This window comes from Homo sapiens, chromosome 18 (genome assembly GCF_000001405.40).
Source record: "Homo sapiens chromosome 18, GRCh38.p14 Primary Assembly".
Taxonomy (NCBI): Eukaryota; Metazoa; Chordata; class Mammalia; order Primates; family Hominidae; genus Homo; species Homo sapiens.
The window spans coordinates 56745692-56766366 of record NC_000018.10 but is presented as its reverse complement, the minus strand read 5'-3'; the positions used below and the strand labels follow the sequence as shown (position 1 = coordinate 56766366).

Genomic DNA, 20675 nt, shown 5'->3' with positions numbered 1-20675 from the left:
GTCCCTTAGAGAGAGGAGGGAGGAAAGGGCAGAATGAATATTTGAAGAAATAATTATTGAAAATTTTTCAAAATTAATAAACTCAATGAACCCCAACCACAAGAAACATGAAGAACACTACACTGAAGAACCACACAATCAAACTGCTCAAAACCAGTGATAAACGGAAAATCTTAAAAGCAACAAGATTAATAAAGTAATGTTACAGTCAGAGGAACAAAGATAAGAATGCTATCAGATCTTGTTAGAACTAATGCAAACAAGAAGACAACAGAATATCATCTTCAAAGCATTAAAAGATATAAAAAGTCAACCTGGAATTCTATACCAGAAAAAAAAAAAAGCTTTCAAAAACAAAGACAAACAAAGATGTTTTCAAATGTACAAAAACTTGAAGAGCAGACGCTCACTAAAAGAAAGATTAGCATGCAGGGCTTAAAACCTAGATGACAGCTTGATAGGTACAGCAAAACAACATGGCACATGTGTATCCATGTAGCAAACCTGCACGTTCAGCACATGGATCCCAGAACTTAAATAAATAAATAAATAGATAGATAGATACATACATACATACATATATACATACATAAAAAGAAAGCTTAAAGTAAGTCCTTTTGTTAGAAGAATTTTACCAGATAGAAGTCTTGATCTACACAAAGGAATGTAGAATACCAAAAAAGGTAACTACGTGGGTAAATATGTATTTTTTCTTATTTCAGTCTCTTTAAAATATAATTACTGTTAAACACAAATCACAAGAATAATTTGTGAGGTTTATAACATATATAAAAGTAAAATGCAGGACAACAGTAGCATAAAGACCAGGAGATGAGAAATGCTAATATAATATTATAAGGTTTAACATTTATATTAAATGTTAAATAGTATAATAGCACTTGAATGTACACTGTGATAACGGAAAGACATAGACTACAGACTCTAAAAAAACTACTAAAATAATAAAAATTAGCTTATAAAGCCATAAAGGAGATCAAATGGAATCATAAAAAAAATCTTTTTAGTCTAAAAGACAGCAGAAAAAGAAAAAGAACAAAAAATAAATGCAACGAAGAGAAAAATAAGGTAGTAGGATAACAGATTCAAACCTAACCATATCAACAATCACATTAAATGTAAACGGCTTATGCATCTCAAGTAAAAAGCAGGTCAGATTGGATTAAAAAATAAGACCCACTATATGCTGCCCACAAGAAACACATCTTAAATATAAAGAGCCAAATAGGTAAAAAGTAAAAGGATGAGAAAAGATTATACTATGTTAACAGTAGCCAAAAATGCTGAAATTACTGTATTATTATAAACAAAGTAAATTTCAAAGCAAAGGACATTACCAAGGATAAAGAAGGTCATTTCATAATGACGAGGGTCAAATAATCAAGAAGAAATAAAAATTCCAAAGGTTTATGCACCTAATAAGAGAGCTTCAAAATACATGAAGCAAAAACTGGGATAGAAATGCAAGAAGGAATAAACAAACCCATAATTATAGCTGCAGATTCAATACTCTTATTTAATTGATAAAGGCAAGCAGGCAGAAAAATCAGCAAGTATATACTAAACTTGAACACGGGCAACTTGACCTGACTGACAGTTATAAAATATTCCACCCAACAACAGCAGAATACACATTCTTCTGAAGTACACACAGTATATTTACCAAGACAGACTATATTTTGGGCCATAAAACAAGTCTCAATAAATTCAAAAGGATTCACATTGTATAACATGGAGACTATAGTTAGTAACAATGTATTATATACTTAAAAATTGCTGAGGGAGTAATTTTAAGTGTTCTCAACACACATAAAATGATACATATATGAGGTCATAGATATGTTAATTAGCTAGATTTAGCCATTCCACAATGTACACATGTATCAAAACATCATGTTGTACACTATAAATGTACGCAATGTTATTGGCCCATATATAAACACAATCAATTGAAACAAATGCCAAAGGATTCAAACCACACAAAATATAGTATCTGACCATAAAATGAAAACCAGTAACAGACAGATCCTAGGAAAATCCACAAGTGTTTGGAAATTATATTAACTGATTACTAAATTATCCATGGGTAAAAGAAAAAAATCAAAAGGAAAATTAAAAGTACAATATGGCAAAGTGTGTGTAATGCCACTAAAATAATACTTAGGGGAAAATTTGTAGCATTGAATGCCTATATTAGAAAAGGAGAAAGGTTTTAAATCAATGATCTCAGCTTTTACCTTAAGAAATTAAAAATATAAGAGCACATTTAAAATAGAAAAAATAAATAATAATCAAATCAAAAACCAGTGAAATAGAAAAATAATAGATATCAATGAATAGAAGGCTAGTTCTTTGAAAAGATCCATAAAATTGCTAAACTACAAGACAGACTGATCAAGAAAAAGGGAAAAAACATAAATTATGAATAACAGAAATGAAAGAGTGAATATAATTTCAAATCCTACAAATATGATAGTAAAAGCAAAATAAAAGATTACACACAACTTTTTGCTGATAAATTTGACACAAATGATCAAAGTTCACCCAAGTAGACATTTTTGAAAACAAGCAGAATAGCCCTATATCTATAATACTTTTAAATCCGTAGTTAAAAACCTTCCCATAAAGAAAACCCCTGGGCTTTCACTAGTGAATTAGATCAACCAAATATGGAAGAATTATCAACCTACACTCACCCGTCCAGAAAATACAGGGAAAGGGGCTACTTCCTAATTCATTCTGTGAGGCCAGCATTATCCTATCAGCAAAACTGGACAAAGGCATTAATAGAAATGAAAACTAAAGACCAAACTTCCTCATGAACTTACACATGAACACCCTTAACAAAATTTTAGCAAATTGTACCTAACAAACTATAAAATTGGTAATTCAAAATGTGGTCTATATTGCAAGGTTGTTTTAAAACTTAAAAGTCAATATACTTTGTCTTATTAAGAAAATAAAAGACAAAAATCAAATAATCATTTCAATAGATGCAGAAAAAACATCTGAATAAAATCTAACATCTATTCATAATTTTTAAAATCTCGACAAACTAAGAATAGAATGGAACTTTTTCAACCTGATAAAGAACATCGAAGAAGGCCAGGCGTGGTGGCTCACGCATGTAATCCCAGCACTGTGGGAGGATCACGAGGTCAGGAGCTCAAGACCATCCTGGCTAACACGGTGAAACCCTGTCTCTACTAAAAATACAAAAAATTAGCTGGGCGTGGTGCGGGCGCCTGTAGTCCCAGCTACTCAGGAGGCTGAGGCAGGAGAATAGCATGAACCCAGGAGGCGGAGCTTGCAGTGAGCTGAGATCGCGCCACTGCACTCCAGCCTGGGCGACAGAGCCAGACTCCATCTCAAAAACAAAACAAAACAAAAAAACAAACAAACAAAAAAAAAACTTTATTCGTAGGCAACCCAAGGTAAAAAAAAAAAAAAATTCTTACTAAGGTAAGAAAAATTGGACAAAAGATATAAATAGGCATTTCGCCAAAATGGACATATGGATGGCAAACAAAAAACAAAACAAAACAAAAAACAGCACACTGAATCCAAAAAATGGAGGAGGATGTAAATAAAGAGCAGAATTTAAGGAAGTGGGGAAAAATATGCACTAGAAAGGATAAAGTCAAATTGAGGTCATTAAAATGACTAATAAGATTGATAAACCCCTGGTAAGACTGATGAAGCAAAAAGAGAGAAGACATAAATTATTAAAATCAGGAATAAAAACAAGGACATATTACAGATACCAGAGAGATTAAAAGACAATATTATAATCTCAAATGTCAATATATTTGAAAATTTAGAATCAGAGAAACTCCTAAATATGTACTACTTAACAAAACTGACACCAAAGAAACAAAATCTGAAAAGTCAATGAGATAAGTTGAACCCAGAATTAAAAACTGCCTACAAAGAAAACTCTAGATCTAAATCCAGCAAATTTAAATCTAGAGTTTGAATTTATGAAAGAAATGTTGCCAATCTTATACAAACTCTTCATGAAAATAGAAAAAAAAGAAAACATTCCACAACTCAGTTTTTGTAACCTGAATAATCTGAAAGCTTCTAAGGACATCAGAAAAAAAAAGTTTTCCTAAATAAAAAATATTAAATCAAATACAATAATTTATAAGAAAATAATACATCAAAACAAAATTGGTTTTATTCTAGGATGCAAGATTGGGTTTATGTTCTAAATTTGCCACATTAATAGAGGAAAATTAAAAGTTATACAATCATCTCAATCAATACAGAAAAGGTATGATAAAATCCAAATACACTGATGATAAACATTAGCAAAGAAGGAATAAAAGGTAGCTAGTTTCTTAACATCTACAAAAGCATATAGGAAATATCATAATTATGAAAGGTTTAAAAGTTTTCCCTTTGAAACTGGGAAAAGGTTATCTCATATGATTACCCTGACATTCAAAGGAATCCCCAGATAAATTATTTTAATTAATAGGTGAATTCAGCAAGATTGCTTGATACAATATTAGTATACAAAAATCAACTGCATTTCTATACTGGGGCACAGAAATGAAAAATAGCTAAACATTACCAGTTAAGAAAAATTTTTAAATCTAATATCCAAATCCAATATTTAGATATATATGTTATATATCTAAAATATATATAAAACCTCTACACATAAAACCATATGAGTTATGATAGATAAAGAACACCTAAATAAATGCAGAGATATATCAAGTTGATGTATAATGAGTGAATCCCATAAAGATATTAATTATCTCCAAACTTATCTAAATTCAATATAACTGCAATTAAAATCACAACAGGTTTTTGAGGCAATTGAGAAACTGATTCTAAAATTTATATTGAAATTCAAAGGGACAAAAGAAGCCAAGACACACTTTAAAAAAAATAAGGTGGTAAGATTTCATCTACTGAATATCAAGTCTCATTACAGAGCAACAGTAATTAAGACACAAGGCTAGACAAACCAATCAATGGAATCAAACAGCCCAGAAACATACTATCATCTATAAAGAAATTTTATTGGCCAGATGCAATGGTTGATGCCTGTAATTCCAGCACTTTGGGAGGCCAAAGTGGGTGAATTGCCTGAGCTCAGGAGTTCAAGACCAGCCTGGGCAGAATGGCAAAACCCCATCTCTACTAAAAATAGAAAAAATTAGTCAGGATGGTGGTGTGCACCTATAGTCCCACTTGCTCGGGAGGCAGAGGTGGGAGGATTGCTTGAGCCTGGCAGGTGGAGGCTGCAGTGAGCTGTGATTGTGCCACTGCACCCCAGCCTGGGTCTAATAGAAAAATATGTAAGAGTTGAACATTTACTTCACAAAAGAAAATATAGAAATGAGTAATCAACATATAAAATGTGTTTAAACAGTAGTAAAGGAATGCAAATTAAACATATGAGACACTATTATACACATATCAAAATGGCTAAAGTGAAAAAGAAGGAAAATATTAGGTGTTGGCTAGGGTATCTCATCAGTTGTATATAAGAGTTCTCATTGCTCCATATCCTAGTCAACGCTTAATATTTTCTCTTTTTCACTTTAGCCATTGTGATGAATGTATATCAGTCTCACACTTAGGAAAACACTTTAACATTACCTACTAAAGCTGAAGATATTCAGAAATTTCCACTTTTAGTTATATACAAAACAGAAACGCTTATAATATGCACTAAGTTTAAAATACAAGGATGCTCATAGCAGAATCATTTATAAACACCAAATGCTGGACACAATCCAAATGTCTAATGACCAAAAAAAGAGAATAAACTGTGATCTATTCATTCAACAGAATACTACACAGCAATGAAAATGGACAAACTATGGTCAAATGCAACAACACTGATAAATGTCACAAAAGACAAGCACAAAATATATACTGTTTAATTGACTAAATTTATATAAAACTTAAAAGATAGGCAAAATTAAACAATAGAGTTTAGAAATTTAAACTTAGGTGGTACAACTGTAAAAGAAAGAAAAGAAGTGGCTTCACAAAAGTCAAGATAGTGATTACCTCTAGAAGAGGAAGGTATGATGATTGGGAAGGAACAAGCAGGATGCTTCTGAAGTGCTGGCAATACTCTAATCCTTGCCAAGGACATAGTTACAAGGGTGTTCTGCTTCTAAAAATCACTGTACGTTTCTGTTTTGTGCATGTTTCTGTATGTATATTATATTTCACACATGCAAGCATAAAAAAGTTATCTAACCAAAACTATTATAAAACTTTTATATAGCTTAATATACACTATTACATAATGATCTTATAACTTTAATTAGAGGTCAGAGAAATGAGAAGGGTGACTGTGTGGGTTTGGAAATGATGGATAGAAATGGCATAGAAAGTGTGGGAGTTTATCTTCCACAATGAGAACCATCTGACAGTGCCTAACGCTGAAAATCAAGCACACCATTTAAGGATGTTAAAGTAAGTCTCAAATAATCAGCTAAGAGAGATAAAAGTACTTGTCTTGTGGAAGAGGAAAACTACAGATATAAAGTTGGGGGTCTACTGTTTAACAAACCTTGTAAAACTACTGTTTGACTCTTTCAAACTTAAAAAAAAGTAGGGAAGAAAAATGCCAGTATGCCACCATTTATAAGCAGAAGCTGCATCAACCCATCTGTTGCTTACTTCTTTACTTTTCTCTATCACATTCTGTGAAGAGTCAGTATTAACTCTTTGTCCAAAGTGAAGTTCTCTAAGTAGACATAACTCCCCAACTCTCTTGATTAGCTCATTTGTCAGTCTTAATAGGAATATAAAAGATATATGCAGATACATCTAAGTATATTAATTAATTATACTCAGGAATATGTAGAAATTATTAGTAGAGGAAGAGAAACTCAACCTTTCTTCTCCTCCATCTCCTAATGAAAAACAAAGCTATAGGTGAAAGTTAAGGTATATAATGACTCAAATAAAAAGAAAAGATAAAAAGAATAGCTTAACAAGGATTTCCACTTATGAATCACAACACATGAACTATGGGAAAATGGCAGATTAGTTGTAGTATGGAACTATGAACTTAAGCATTTATAAATGTAGTTTAAAATAGGTATAACTTTTAAACTCAAGAAACACACAATTAAAACACTACTGTTGTCAAGTTAAGGTGCCCCAATGCATAAAAATTAGTCCAAAGACAGTATAATAAAATTATCTGAAATATGCTCATTTATCACTTTCTAAATAAATCTGATTTATCCTTAACTGACATCTTAATTATCCATATTTACATCTGGAATATAACAACTTTTCTCTCTTTTAACAATCCAAGACAAACAAATATTATGATTATACATTAGCTATGCCTCCTCAGTTTCTAGAGCTGAAATGTCATGTCAATTACTTAATAAGATTTAATTTTACCTTGTTTAATCTGTCCTTGCACAATATTACTGGAAGTTGGAGGGGAACCCCTTGCCTTAGAAAGGTCTGGGGTGCTTGGTCTAGGTGGCCTTAAAAAAGAAGAAAAAAATACAAGATATATTTTGATACTGTCATATTTCCAGAACTATTTAAAATAAAAAATTTTCTACTTCTAAACGAATCACAAAAGAAACATATATAGAACATTTTCAATTTACCATTCCAGAAAGATTTTTTTTGGTTTGGACCTATTAACGTTTTCCATTTCAAATGAGTAAATGATTAGCAAGTAAAAATCTGACATGTGCAATTTGTGCTTCATATTAGTTTAAGAAATATTTTCTAACATCATACTTAACCCTTTGTTCTTCAATATTCAGATGCTGAGATTTCAGTCTACTCCACAGCATTAATCCAAGTGAATTCATAGAAAGATAGATTAAAAACATTCAACCCAAAAACCTGAAAACAGTCTTCAGGCATTAAGAAATCTTGGACTATAGAGGCAGACTGTCTCAGTTGTGAATTCTGACACTACCACTTACTAGCTATGTTACCTTGGGCACGTTACATCATCTCTCTGTGTCTCAGTTTTGTTCTCCGTAATAAAAGGGATAATAAAAGTACATACCTCATAGGGTTAAGGGAACTAACAAATTAGTTTTTATAAAGTACTTACAACAGAGACTGACACAAAGTAAGTGCTATATAAGTATTTGTTAGAATTGTTTTTAATTCTTCATATGGTAAATGCTCAATAGAGTATAATAAAAAGTTGTCTCCATAAAAAGACAAATTGAGGCTAAGTATTCTGGAAATATTAAAATAGTATTCTCCTGCATTTTAAATAGTTTTTTCTTTCTCTATTGAAAAATTCTGACTATACTTCTCACAAAATTCTGAAGCCAAATCTCTGAACACGTCAATCATTACATATGTTACAATGAGAAGAAGCATTTAATGAAATATACATTTTTTTTTTTTTGAGACAGAGTCTTACTCTGTTGCTTAGGCTGGAGTACAGTGGCACAATCGTGGCTCACTGCAGCCACGAACTTCCAGGCTCAAGCGACCCTCCCACCTCAGCCCCCCAAGTAGCTGGGACTACATGCATGTAACCACCATGCCCAGCTAATTACTTTTATTTTTGCAGAGGCAGGGTCTATGCTGCTCAGGCTGGTCTCAAACTCCTGGCTTCAAGTGATCCTCCTGCCTCAGCCTCCCAAAGTGCTGGGATTACAAGTGTCAGCTACCATGCCCAGCCTCAAATATATATTTTGAATTGAATATTAGGGCAAACTTCAAGTACGTATACAATTTTATAATTATATTTACAAGAGCTAGTCTATATGACCAACTCCCTCATTCCAAATTTTTAAAAAACATCTAAGTATGCCAATCATACATAAAATTGTTTAATTTTATTATGTTTTAATCGGGCATTTTGAAACTGGTGTTTTAAAATGTAAAAGGGAAACAACTGAGATGACACTGAAATAATAAAATTGTGTAGAGCCAAAAAAGAGTAATCAACAATGAAAAAATAAAACAGGTTTCTTTTTTTGAAACTTAAGAATAAAATCAAACTATCATGGTCACACCTGGTAGGACCCTTCTTCATATGATCACCAATAAAAGTTGCATTGGTCATACTCATTAAAGTATTTGCCAAAGAAATGATAGACAGGAGATGCTGTGTGGTGACGGCACGGGACACTCCGTAAGTTCCCTTTCCTACTCCCTCAGACGCTGGCAGCTTCCTTCCTACTTCTGTTTTCCCATGTGACAGTTTACAAGCAGGCTGATTATAACCCGGCAGCATCAGTGACATATGGCCTCCTCTTGACAAGAGGCCAAACGATACGGTGCAGTGGGGTTTCAGCATTCCAAGGCGATCCAGGCAAACTTCATCCAGTACTTCATTCAAACCCCAGGCGTGAAGGCAGGACATAAACAGCTTTGCAGTGTCCATAGTTAAATTATATTCTAATAGGGTCAATGGCTTTGATTTGCTGGACCGATATTCAGGATCACTTTCTTCCCTTCTCTGCCTCATTATCTCCTCATCCTCCTCTTCATCATCAAGGAGGTGTTCCTTGATGTTCTCTTTGATCGTTTCTTTCACTTGTTGGAAGAGAACTGCTGCTCGTTTTCCAGTTAAAAAAGAGCCCCCTTTGTCTGAACTGCCAGATGCTTTTTGCAAATTCTCTGGGGAAATAAGAGCAGTATTCGGCCTAGAGGCTTCTTCAGTCAGGAGTTGAATAATCAACGCTTCCACATCAAAGAATAGCACATGTATGTCCGGGTCTGTTAGGTTTGTCTTTATTGCTTGAACCATCAGGGAGTTATGAGAATATTTAGGTAAATTTCCCTGTAATAAATATTTTTAAAAGATAGTTATAATTAAAAGTGCTTAATTTCATACATTCATTAATAAACAATAAATAATCAGAGGAATTAACATGCTTATTAAGCTGTCCTTCTAGGAACCTATATCATGAAAAGTAACATACTAACTTTGCCAATCAGCAGCATGTAAAAGATATCAGCTTACACAATTAGAAGAACTTTATGCTGAAACAATCACAAAATTGCCAATTAGTTTAAAAACCAAGAAAATAATAGTTTATTATTGAAGCAGGGAGTCTCTTTACTCACAGTAATGATTAAAATGTGTTTCAATAATTTATGAGCAAATCCTGTCTCTGAAAATAAACTACTGTTCCACCTGATGGAATAATCCGTTTATCGTGGCTCCTGATCCTTTAAGTTGCTACAACCATCATATCCCTCCTTTTTCCATTTTACCTTCAATCTCTCCCTATTCAAAGATTCCATTCCCTGAATAAAGAACATATTACAGTCTACTTAGATCCTTTAAAAAATGCTATCTTTTGACCATGCTCCCTTTTCTATTTCTCTCCTCTTCTAGCCAAATTTCTGTCCCTTTTAGCAAAATTTACTGAAAGTAGTAGACTACTCCAATGAAAATTCTTCAGTCCCTCTCTTCCTTAATGTCTTTGCAGTATATGACATTGTTATTTTTTCCCGAGATAGAAAGAAAAATAAAGAGACAAAGAAAGAACTAAAAGAAAGAATAAGAAGCCACCTCTCCAGCATCCTGGAGGGTAATAAAGATTTATCTGGAGAGTACCTCCTGGTAAGTCTTCTACCTCTGTCAATCTCTCCCTCTCAGGCAGCTGCCCTGATAACTCACTCTTCCCCCTACATGGGAACTATCACCTATATGTAGATGGCTCTCTAATTTCCATCATCAGCCAGACCAGTCTCCTAAAGGAGTTTCAATCCTGTATCTCCAATGGCTTGTATTGGGATATCCCACAGTACCTACCTCACATTTTTACGTTCTCATCTCCACCCCTCACTAAACCTCCTGGGCCTCCTGATTCATCAGCTGGAAATCATTCTGTTTTCTTCCTATCCCGCTGTCACGACAGAAATTCAGACCACTTATCTTTGCTCCTCAAGACAGGTTTCACTGTCCCTGGTCTCTTACTCCAACATATGTGACCTCCACAGAACTACAGACTTCCTTCTGAGGCAAAAATCTAATCATGTCACTCTACCAAAAAATTTCCATTATCATGAATTATTAAGAAAAATAGACAATACAAAATTCTTAAAAACTAAATCACAATATAGGTGAATATCTAACTGATCTTGAGATGAGAATGGACTTTCTAAACATACTTAAAAGTTCACTACGATAAAAAACATGTTAAATGACAACTAAAAAATAGGAATAAAATGTTCCAGAAATAGGACTAATGAAGAGTTGTAACAGATACAAACATTTCTTAAAAGCAATAATACTATTGCCAAAAGAAAAAAAAAAGAAAAAAACTATGAAGACCAAAGACAGTAAAAGAAACATAAAGGGAGAATATAGGGAAAACCTGCTCAAATTGGTTGTCAAGTAAATAACAGTTAAAATAACTACAAGATAAGTGTTTTATCTTATTAACTTATTAGCAAACAGTAAACACTAAAAACAGTATAGAGAAAGTCAAACTCATACACTGCAGCTGTGAATTTGAATAGTTTTAAAAGAGTAATTTGGCAAAATACCTTATAAGCCTTTATGATTGATATTGTTTGATCCAATATATTTATTTCCAGGATCCTATCTTAAACAGTCAGAAATACAGACAAGGATTTATGTTCAAAGATGTTCAGTGAAACTGTATCGAATATTTTAAATTGGAAACCACCTAAATATCTAACAGTAAGGAAACTAGTAAATAATTTATGCATTGACATATAATAAATATTGCAGAATTTATAAATCATCTTTTCTGGGCACATCTAACCATGTAGAAAAATACCCATAGTCGAATTTTAAGTGAGATGAAACTATACACTCATCCACACGTACACGCACACGCGTGCACACATACACACACACACCAGTTATGGTTCCAATTTCACATATTTAATGCTTAAGTATATATACATATATACATACACACACATTATATATGGCATGGCAAGAAAGACTGCTTATATATATTTGTGTGTGTATATATGTGTATATATACACGTATATATACACATATATACGTGTATATATACACACACATATATACACACATATATACGTATATATACACACATATATATGTATATACATACACACACACACATATACACACACACACACACACACACACACACACACACACACAAAGCACAAAACATCCTCCAAGATATACTGCTGCTTACCCTTCCAATTTCACCTCTCACCACAATCCCTATAACTTCTGCCAAATCAAACCACTTGTACTTTCCCGGACCAAAGTGTGTGTGTACATATATACACACAAACATACATATATATGTGACTGGAAAGAAATGTGTGAAAATATTAATAGTAATTACAATCTTGTGATGGAATTATAGAACATTTTGTTTGTATTGCTATATATTTCTTAGATTACATATAATCATATACAATCTAATTTGTATTGCTATATATTTCTTAGATTGTATATAATCATATAATCAATATATATTTTAATAATTAGAAAATAAAGCTCTAGAATAAAATGTGAACTCCTTTAGCACAATCTTCAAGGTCCATTACAGTCTGACATCAAATACCTTCCGAGCTTTAACAAATAGGCCCTAGTACCAAAACTATGGCCCCTCACATATAAATACGTTTACTTATTCCCCTTCCCAAAATGCTCTTCCTTTACTCCACTCCAATCCCTTCTCTTCCATCGACACCCTATTATTCCACAAATATATGTATATCAAATCATCACACTCTATACCTAGGATATACACAATTGACAATTTGTCAGTTGTCCCCCAGTAAATTTGGTGGGGGGAGGGGGGTGGGAGAAAGAGACTAATTCTGCCAAGGAAGTTAGTCCACAGTGAATCCAACTCCCACAACATTTTATGTCTACTATGTATCACATATTTGTATGTCTTTGCCACATTTATATAATTTGTTGTTCTAGATATTTGCATTTTCCTATACTCTACAGGAACATTTCAAAATCAGGGACCAATCATGTCTTACTCATCTTGTAGAGTCTTAAACCTATTACAGCACCTAGCAGAATGAACAAAGACTATTATGAAAATTATATAAAATTGGCTGGTCCAAGTGTAGTGGTGTTTAGAACTAATTGGTCCAACCAGTTACAGATTTCTTTGTTCCCTCTCCACTCCCACTGCTTCACTTGACTAGCCTTAAAATTTTTTTAGGAAAATTATTTTAAATTGCCAATCAGCTCTTCTGACATAAAATTACCACAAATCCCCTTAACTGGTCTCCCTTCTGTCTTAATTTCCTCCCATCTGACCACGTTTCTTTCTAGCTTAAGAGACTTCAACATTCTGTTGAACCCAAGGATAAAATCCAGACTTACCTGCAAAGCACAAAACATCTTTCAAGATATACTGCTGCTTACCCTTCCAAGTTCATCTCTCACCACAATCCCTATAACTTCTGCCAAATCAAACCACTTGTACTTTCAGAACCAAGTAGTTTCAGACATTTGTATTTCTGCATATGCTTATGCCAGAATCATGCTCCCTCCGGAATCTCTCTTCTGCCACTCAAGTCATACATACTTCTACTCATCCTGCAAGAAGTATTTCAAGTGGCTTCTCTTCTGAAAATTACTTACAAATTTTTCAAGCAGATCTATCACTACTTCCTGTGGGTAAACTTCTGTTCTAAGTATTTCTATACTACAGTTAAGCATCCTAAAATACATAAATAATGTGATAAATTTGCACTACACAATCATAAAGTTACAAATGCAGAAAAAAATCAAGACTTTCCAAATCTCATTCTCGTATTTAATTCATTCATTCCCCCAGCTGCCTAACACCTATTATGTCTTGTGTTTGCGCAGGGTATTGAGGGAACCAAGACGAGTCAGAAATGGTTTTTCTAGTCATGGAACTCAAAACAGATGATGATGCGTACATAAGTTATTATAATGTTGGATGAATGGTGCCATAAAGAGAGATGGCAAGGCACAAGAAGGGGACGCAATGGAGAAAGTACCAGCTCCATCTCGGGTGACCGGGAAACCCGCATGGAAGATGTAATGAGCAATGAAAGAGCACTCCTGGCAGAACAATGGCCAGATGTGAAACAGGACAAAGACAGAAGTATCACATGATGGATACTGCTGAAACAAGTGTCCAAGATGGAGAATGCAAGGCATGGCTTTATCCTGCAGGCTCGGGAGCCACTAAAGCAGTATTTTTCTCAGAATCACCAGGAGTGCTTGTTAAATACAGCTTCCTGGGCCTGATATCAGACCTGAACCAGTATCTTTAGGAACGCGTCAGAATCTAATGAGCACCCCAGACTACTTTATGCAGTAAAGTTTGAGAACTGTTGTCTAAAGGCTTTAATGAGGGGAGTAACATGATCAAACTTAATTGTATAAACATTTATCTACCAGCAATGTTGGCTAAAGGGAGCAAGATCACTAATGAATGTGAAATGGAAGGCAACTGAAACCATCCAGATGAGGGAAGATAAAAGTATGCAATAGCACTGAGCATGTAGAAAACATGACAGATTGAAAAATGTGTACATTACCCTTTTATTTCTCATAGCACTGTGCTTGATATTTTCTTTTTCAAATGCTGAATGAGTAATGTCAGACACTATGCTTACTGATTTTTACCTACCAACACTAGTTAAAGTGAATACTACATAAAATTACATACAATATCTTATCTAAAATAATATTGATACAAAAATTATTATTAATAATGATAGCTACCACATACAAAGCTGTTGTTATGGCCTAGGCACCAGACTAGGTATTACGGCTGGTTATGTCACAGCAAAAGATAAAATATCATCATATATCAATATTAGGTAGACAGACCTGACACTGGGTATGAAGGAATAGGTAATAACAACATTAGGTAAAAGAAGAGCCCACCACAGTGCTTTGGCAGATGCTGCCTCTCTGGGAAATAGCTGCAAAATTCTTTTAGGATAAAGATAAAGACCATTACTACCAAAGAATATAAAATCAAACATGCTTGGTAAAGAAATTATTGAAGCAGCACAAGTGACTTGAAGAAAAAAGGAGGCAAGAGTGGTAGCCTCAAGATAGCCCTTTAAGCTCTCTCACCTGGTGTCAACCCCACATGCCCGCTTTCGGCACCTGCAGATCTGTGAATGCTTCTGTCCCTTCCTGGGAGGTGTGCCAGCAGACAGCCCATGTGCATGGACACCTGAAAGGTCATCTAGTGTCTGGGACAATGATATCGGGATGCAATTTCGTGTGATTCCTCTTATTAGAGCTTCTTAGTGCACTGATTGTGTCATTGTAGCAAAAACTATAGCTAACAGTAATCCACAGAAAAAGAGTTTAAAAAAAGAAAAAAAAACAGGAACAAAAACAGATGAGAAGATAACAGGAGGAGACTAAAAAGGAGAGAAAATGAGTAACCTCCAAGTCCTACAGATAAACTATAATTTCTGTTTTCACCAAGTCCTGCATAACTTGTAATACCTGACAATAGATTTAACTGACCCAACAAAGTCTTGTTACAACAAAATATAGGTATGCAGCAAAGTTGTGAGGATATTTTGGCTAAATGCATGGAGATGGCAGCATTAATCACCAACATGTCTGATATTGTAATATAGTACACTAAGCTTATCTATAGGGAAATTAAAACATCTATCAAACTCATAAGTCTCTTGGCTTAGTCATAAGATATTCATGTCTAGAGCACACTAATTCATTCAAATGAGCTTATATTCTTAACAATGTCAAATACGGACTATCGGATCCAGAAAATTCTCTAGCAGGAAGCTTAGTATGTTTCCGCTGCTACCTTTATTAAGAACATTTGAAATGTGTGCTCACAAACTCACCTTTACATTATCGTGGAAGAAGATTAAATTCAGTTTAACAAATATTTGTGGAGTGCCTTTTATGTGCAAGATGCTTGGGACAAAATAAAGCCTCTGTCCTTATGAAGAAAGCCAACTAGGAAAGTTAAATTATAAGGTATATACAAATGAAAAGACCTCAAATTTGCTAGTAAGATTCAACGATAAATGCAAAATACACACATCTACACACACTTACTTAGAAGGGTAGTAAGATAGACATATTTGACATTTTCAGTGTAAGAACCAAGTCAGTTGTAACTTTAAATACAGATCTAACCATTTCAGATTTTAAATAAGGAATCTGACTTAAAATATTACAGAAATAAAGCCACAGGAAAAAAATATTGGATTGCTTCCTCATTGCTGAAAGTGAACCTGTGACAATTACAGGTTAAGAGTAGCAGGTAAAATTGTCAAGTGAAAACCCAAGGAAAACAACAGAACTATGATTCATGAGATTAACCTGTATTCAAGCATGGATATTTTTTGGCACATAAACACACAGACACACACACGCACACACACACACACCCATACACAGTAGCCTCCAGCAACAAAAAAGCAATAACTTAGAATCTGCAGAGGAAAACATGTTGATGAATCCTTATCATTATTATATATTTATAATGTTTATTATTAAATATTTTAATATATTCTAGGGTTAAATCATGTCTGATGAAATACCTGAAAGCTTTCTTTCCTAAAACCAATATTATAATGATATTTTCAGTGTATTTCATTTTATCCTGTGACAAAGAGAAACGTAAAACAATGGCAATAATTGTACTCTTCCACCATTCACTTCAATGATCCTGACTCAAAGCTTACTTATTTCAGAATCATTTTTTAATATTACAGTTTTCAAGAGGATTTTAAAACACCTTATAAAATAATTTACTATTTATCTTGAATGAGCACTGAGTCCAATCTATAGTGATATCAAATGGTTCCTATTGTTAATTAAAAAGAGTTTATTTATACCAGCAAGCAGTACAGACATAGGCTGATTTTCATGCTAAAGTATAAAGCAGAAGAGTTAATAATTTAAAAAAAAATCAGAATCTCCTTTGAAAGCAGAGATTAAGGATACTAAGAACAAAGCTAGGAAATATTACAAATCTAACACACACACACACACACACACACACACAAACACACACACACTTCTATAGATATTAATACTTTGAGTCTTGAAATGGAAAACAAAAAACACTTGACAAATGTTAGTATGCTGTTTTACAAAATTATGTAGCCATATTACATTGCATGTTCTGAATAATTTTAAATTTCCTAAATGTGAAAAACGGTTTATTGCCTAATAATATTTTGGCAGGAAAAATAAATTAAATATTTTATAATTTTACTCTTGATTTAGTATATTTATTGAATAAAAGTTTTTAAAAGAATTTCTGAAATTCTGATGCATGTTAAATGTAAAACGGTCACTGAATAAAAACAAATTGATGTCTTGATGTAATTTTTAAATAGCTAAGGGAAAAACCTCATCATCTACTAAAAAATATGCACAATATTAATGTTTCAATATTAAATATTTTAAGTACTAGAAAAAAGGAAGGAAGGAAGGAAGAAGGAGAAAGGCAGAGAGTGAAAAGGGAGGCATAAAAATTAGAAAATATCAAGAAACTGTGGAGACTGAAATGGATATTTGGTGCCCTCTGCTGTTGTTTTGCTGTTACTTAACATTAAGAGTTAGGATAATACAAGTGAGTTTCATCAGAGAATCCATTTATGTTGGAATTAGACAATATATACTATTATTCATCTTAAATATTTTATTTTAGACAGGATAAGACTTCATGGGTAGGTGTGAATGACAATACAGTCACAGACTTCATGTTATTTGACTTTTCATATGTTTTCATTAACAAGTATGTTAATAAGCATAAACTAGAGACATTTGACTGAGGTTTTAAGGTTTCATATTACGTTATAATTTAATATGATATAAATAAAATAGAAATCACTTAATTACAGTAAGTTGTAACCATTAAGTATAGATGTTTAGGTCATGCCTTTGATAAAGAAAATATCTTTCAAAGATATTTCTGTAGACCATGTCTTACTGGATAATGCCTGAATAATAATATCCAAATAGTATTAATATATTAAGAGGTTAGAAGATCAATATATTAAGAGCTTCCACAACAGCAGCACAAAAGAGATTGATTTTCAACTCTTCCCAAAGGGCCAAGTTACCAAAGTAACAAGACCAGGAGTGTTCCTCCATTGTACAGACCTTTACAAGACTCAGCTTCCCTAGTATCAATCCTTCTATCTTCCAAATAAAGAAAAGACTGCCTACCTCAATAAGGTGTTGTAGACAGCAAACAGATAACACAAGCAGTATTCCTTTCACTGGTAAGGGACAGATAACAAAACCCTGCTCATTTCATCTCAAATGAATGTATCAAAGATACATGTGAACATAGTTTACACCAAGTGAAGGAAAGAAAATGCAAAAGTCCAAAGAGCTCCTAGTATAACACACCCTTCTAGATATGCTGAAACCCTTAACACACTTGTAAATGAATGGAAACAAGGTGAGATTCTGGGAGGCTCCACTCCATAAGAACAAGGATAAGACTGATAATGAGAAAATGAAAAGAAGAAAAAAAAAACTGCCCTAATCAACCTTGGGTCACTGTGATGAACAAGCCCTCATTTCAGAAATGTTCATGCTCGTGTAGATTCTAAGCTATTTTGAACCCTCTTCCCTCATCACGATCCAACTTGGCCCACATCTCACTATTCTCTCCACACAGTGGCCATGCCCACCTGCATCTGCACAGGCTGCTCCCTTTGCCTGGGGTGTTCTTCCCCACCGTCCTCCTAATGTCAAGCCTCTCTCTTCTGAAAAGCCTTCCCAACAACCCTTCAGGTCAGTTTGGCTCTTGGGGTTCTCTCTCACTTGGTTCATACCTTAGGTAGTAAAAGGCTCAACACAATGAACTACGCACTTTTCTCCCACATCAGGTAGGAACTCCCCAATGCCAGGGCCCACTGGGTGTGGGTGTAACTGATGCCCTCTCCAGCTGGTTGTAGCTTGGGGCCTAGCTTAGAGTATGCATTCAATATGTGCTGAATGAATGCATGAATCAATCAATCAAGAGTATTAAACTATGTATGTTGAACAACTATTGTGATGAATGTTTTCAAATCTGTTATCCCATTTAACTTCATTACAACCCTATTATACCAATTTTAAAACTAAAACCAAGTTGAAGATGAGAGATAAGTCAGTCAGTCACCTAAGGTCACACAGCAAGTCAATGGTGACAATACAGGAGGAAGTCAGGTTCCTCCTCTATCTGCCCACCACTTCCTCCATGTTTTGAATAATTCTAGCTATCAGGGGACTCTCAACATTCATTCTGTAGAGATTTGAGAGAGAAGGGAGGTGGTAGAGGAAAGACTGAATCCACTCCACATTAGTGAACCTTCAAATCCTGGGTTATTTAGTGATTCAATGAACACTGTGCTGAGCACTGGAAATACAAGAAGCAATATGGTGTGGTCCTCTGAGAAGCTCTTTGTCTGATATAGAGCAGTGGTTTTGAGCAGGGGTAATTCTCCCCTCACTCCCAACGGACACTTGGTAATGTCTGGAGACACTTTGCTAGTGACGACTTGGAAGGGTGCTAATAGCATCTAGTGGGTAGAGGCTAGGGATGGTGCTAAAAATACTGCACAGGATTCCACAAGAAAAAATTATCAAGCCAAAAATGACAATAGTGTTGAGGTTGAGAAACTCTGATACAGAGAAATAGAGATGGAAACAAATACATCTACCTGCTTACTTATACTAGTACAATAGAATAAGTACTAGGATAGCAATATAATCCAAGTGCCAGAGGATCAGAGAGGAAGACCCAACTGCCCCTGTCTGATCTGGCTGTATTATACTTGAAAAATTCAGGTAGCCTTTGCAGGGACAGAGGTCACAGAACTCATGCTCATGAGATGAGTAGGAGTTAGCCAGGTGAAGGGTGGCACAAGCATATAGCAAGTACTACACTTACTGAAATAGAAGTGAAGGAGACTAAAAACCAAGTAACATTACACTGTAACAACCTAAAATCCTGGGCTATGCTGATAAATCTGCTCCCCTTTTACCATTCCCATCCTTTTTCCTACCCCGTCCTTTCTACCCATCTATTTGCCTGAGAAAATATCACTTTTACCAGAGCTGATTGCTGCTTAGTGTGATTGTGATTGAGGTGTGAATGTAATTAGGAAAAATAAGTATTTTAATACAAAATAAGAGAGAGATCAGTGGAAGACATTAACAGATCTTTGGATATTTTACCTGTTGTACTCAACTGACAGCATCATATAGAATTTCAGTCACAACCACTATGTACCAGTTATACTTCCTATACTTGGACAATGCAGTAAACTGTCTCCCTGAGATAACTGACAAATATATTTCTATTCAAGGTTAATTTTAGGGCCTGCAATACCATGTCATATAAATCATCTTACAAGATTCACACTGGAAAAAAATGTTTAAACCTTGAAATCATTGTCCCTGACTCACACACTTGCTGGCCAACCATTGTCCTAGGAAAGTTCAACATCCATATAGGTCAGTGATTTTCAACTTAGGGTCTGCAGTTGTTGGAGGTCAAGGGGCTTCTTTATGGGATGTAAAAGGATTCAAAGTAGGAGGGCAAATGACACAATGTTAAGCATAGGGTCATTTAGTAAAGTGAGTTACTAAGGTTACTTTTGCTCATTATGCTACAAGTGCTATTTTTATATTTTGCTATTTATAAACTTAAATTAGCATGTGACTAATTTTCTAGAACAAGGGTCCCCAACCTTC

At 34.2% G+C, this 20675-nt stretch overlaps 1 protein-coding gene across 13 annotated transcripts in view; it reads right to left on the bottom strand.

Annotated features, from left to right (window-relative positions):
• WDR7 (WD repeat domain 7) overlaps positions 1 to 20675 on the bottom strand; it is a 385248-nt gene that overhangs the window by 270240 nt on the left and 94333 nt on the right. For all 13 annotated transcript variants that reach the window (XR_007066131.1, XR_007066132.1, XR_007066133.1 and 10 more), the window contains 2 exons: positions 9015 to 9784; positions 7414 to 7502 (listed from right to left, as the gene is read on the bottom strand). Coding sequence is in view for 9 of the 13 variants with exons in the window: in NM_015285.3 (NP_056100.2) it covers positions 7414 to 7502; positions 9015 to 9784 (859 nt within the window). In the remaining 4 variants the exon portion in view is untranslated. The remainder of the gene's footprint in view (positions 1 to 7413; positions 7503 to 9014; positions 9785 to 20675) is intronic.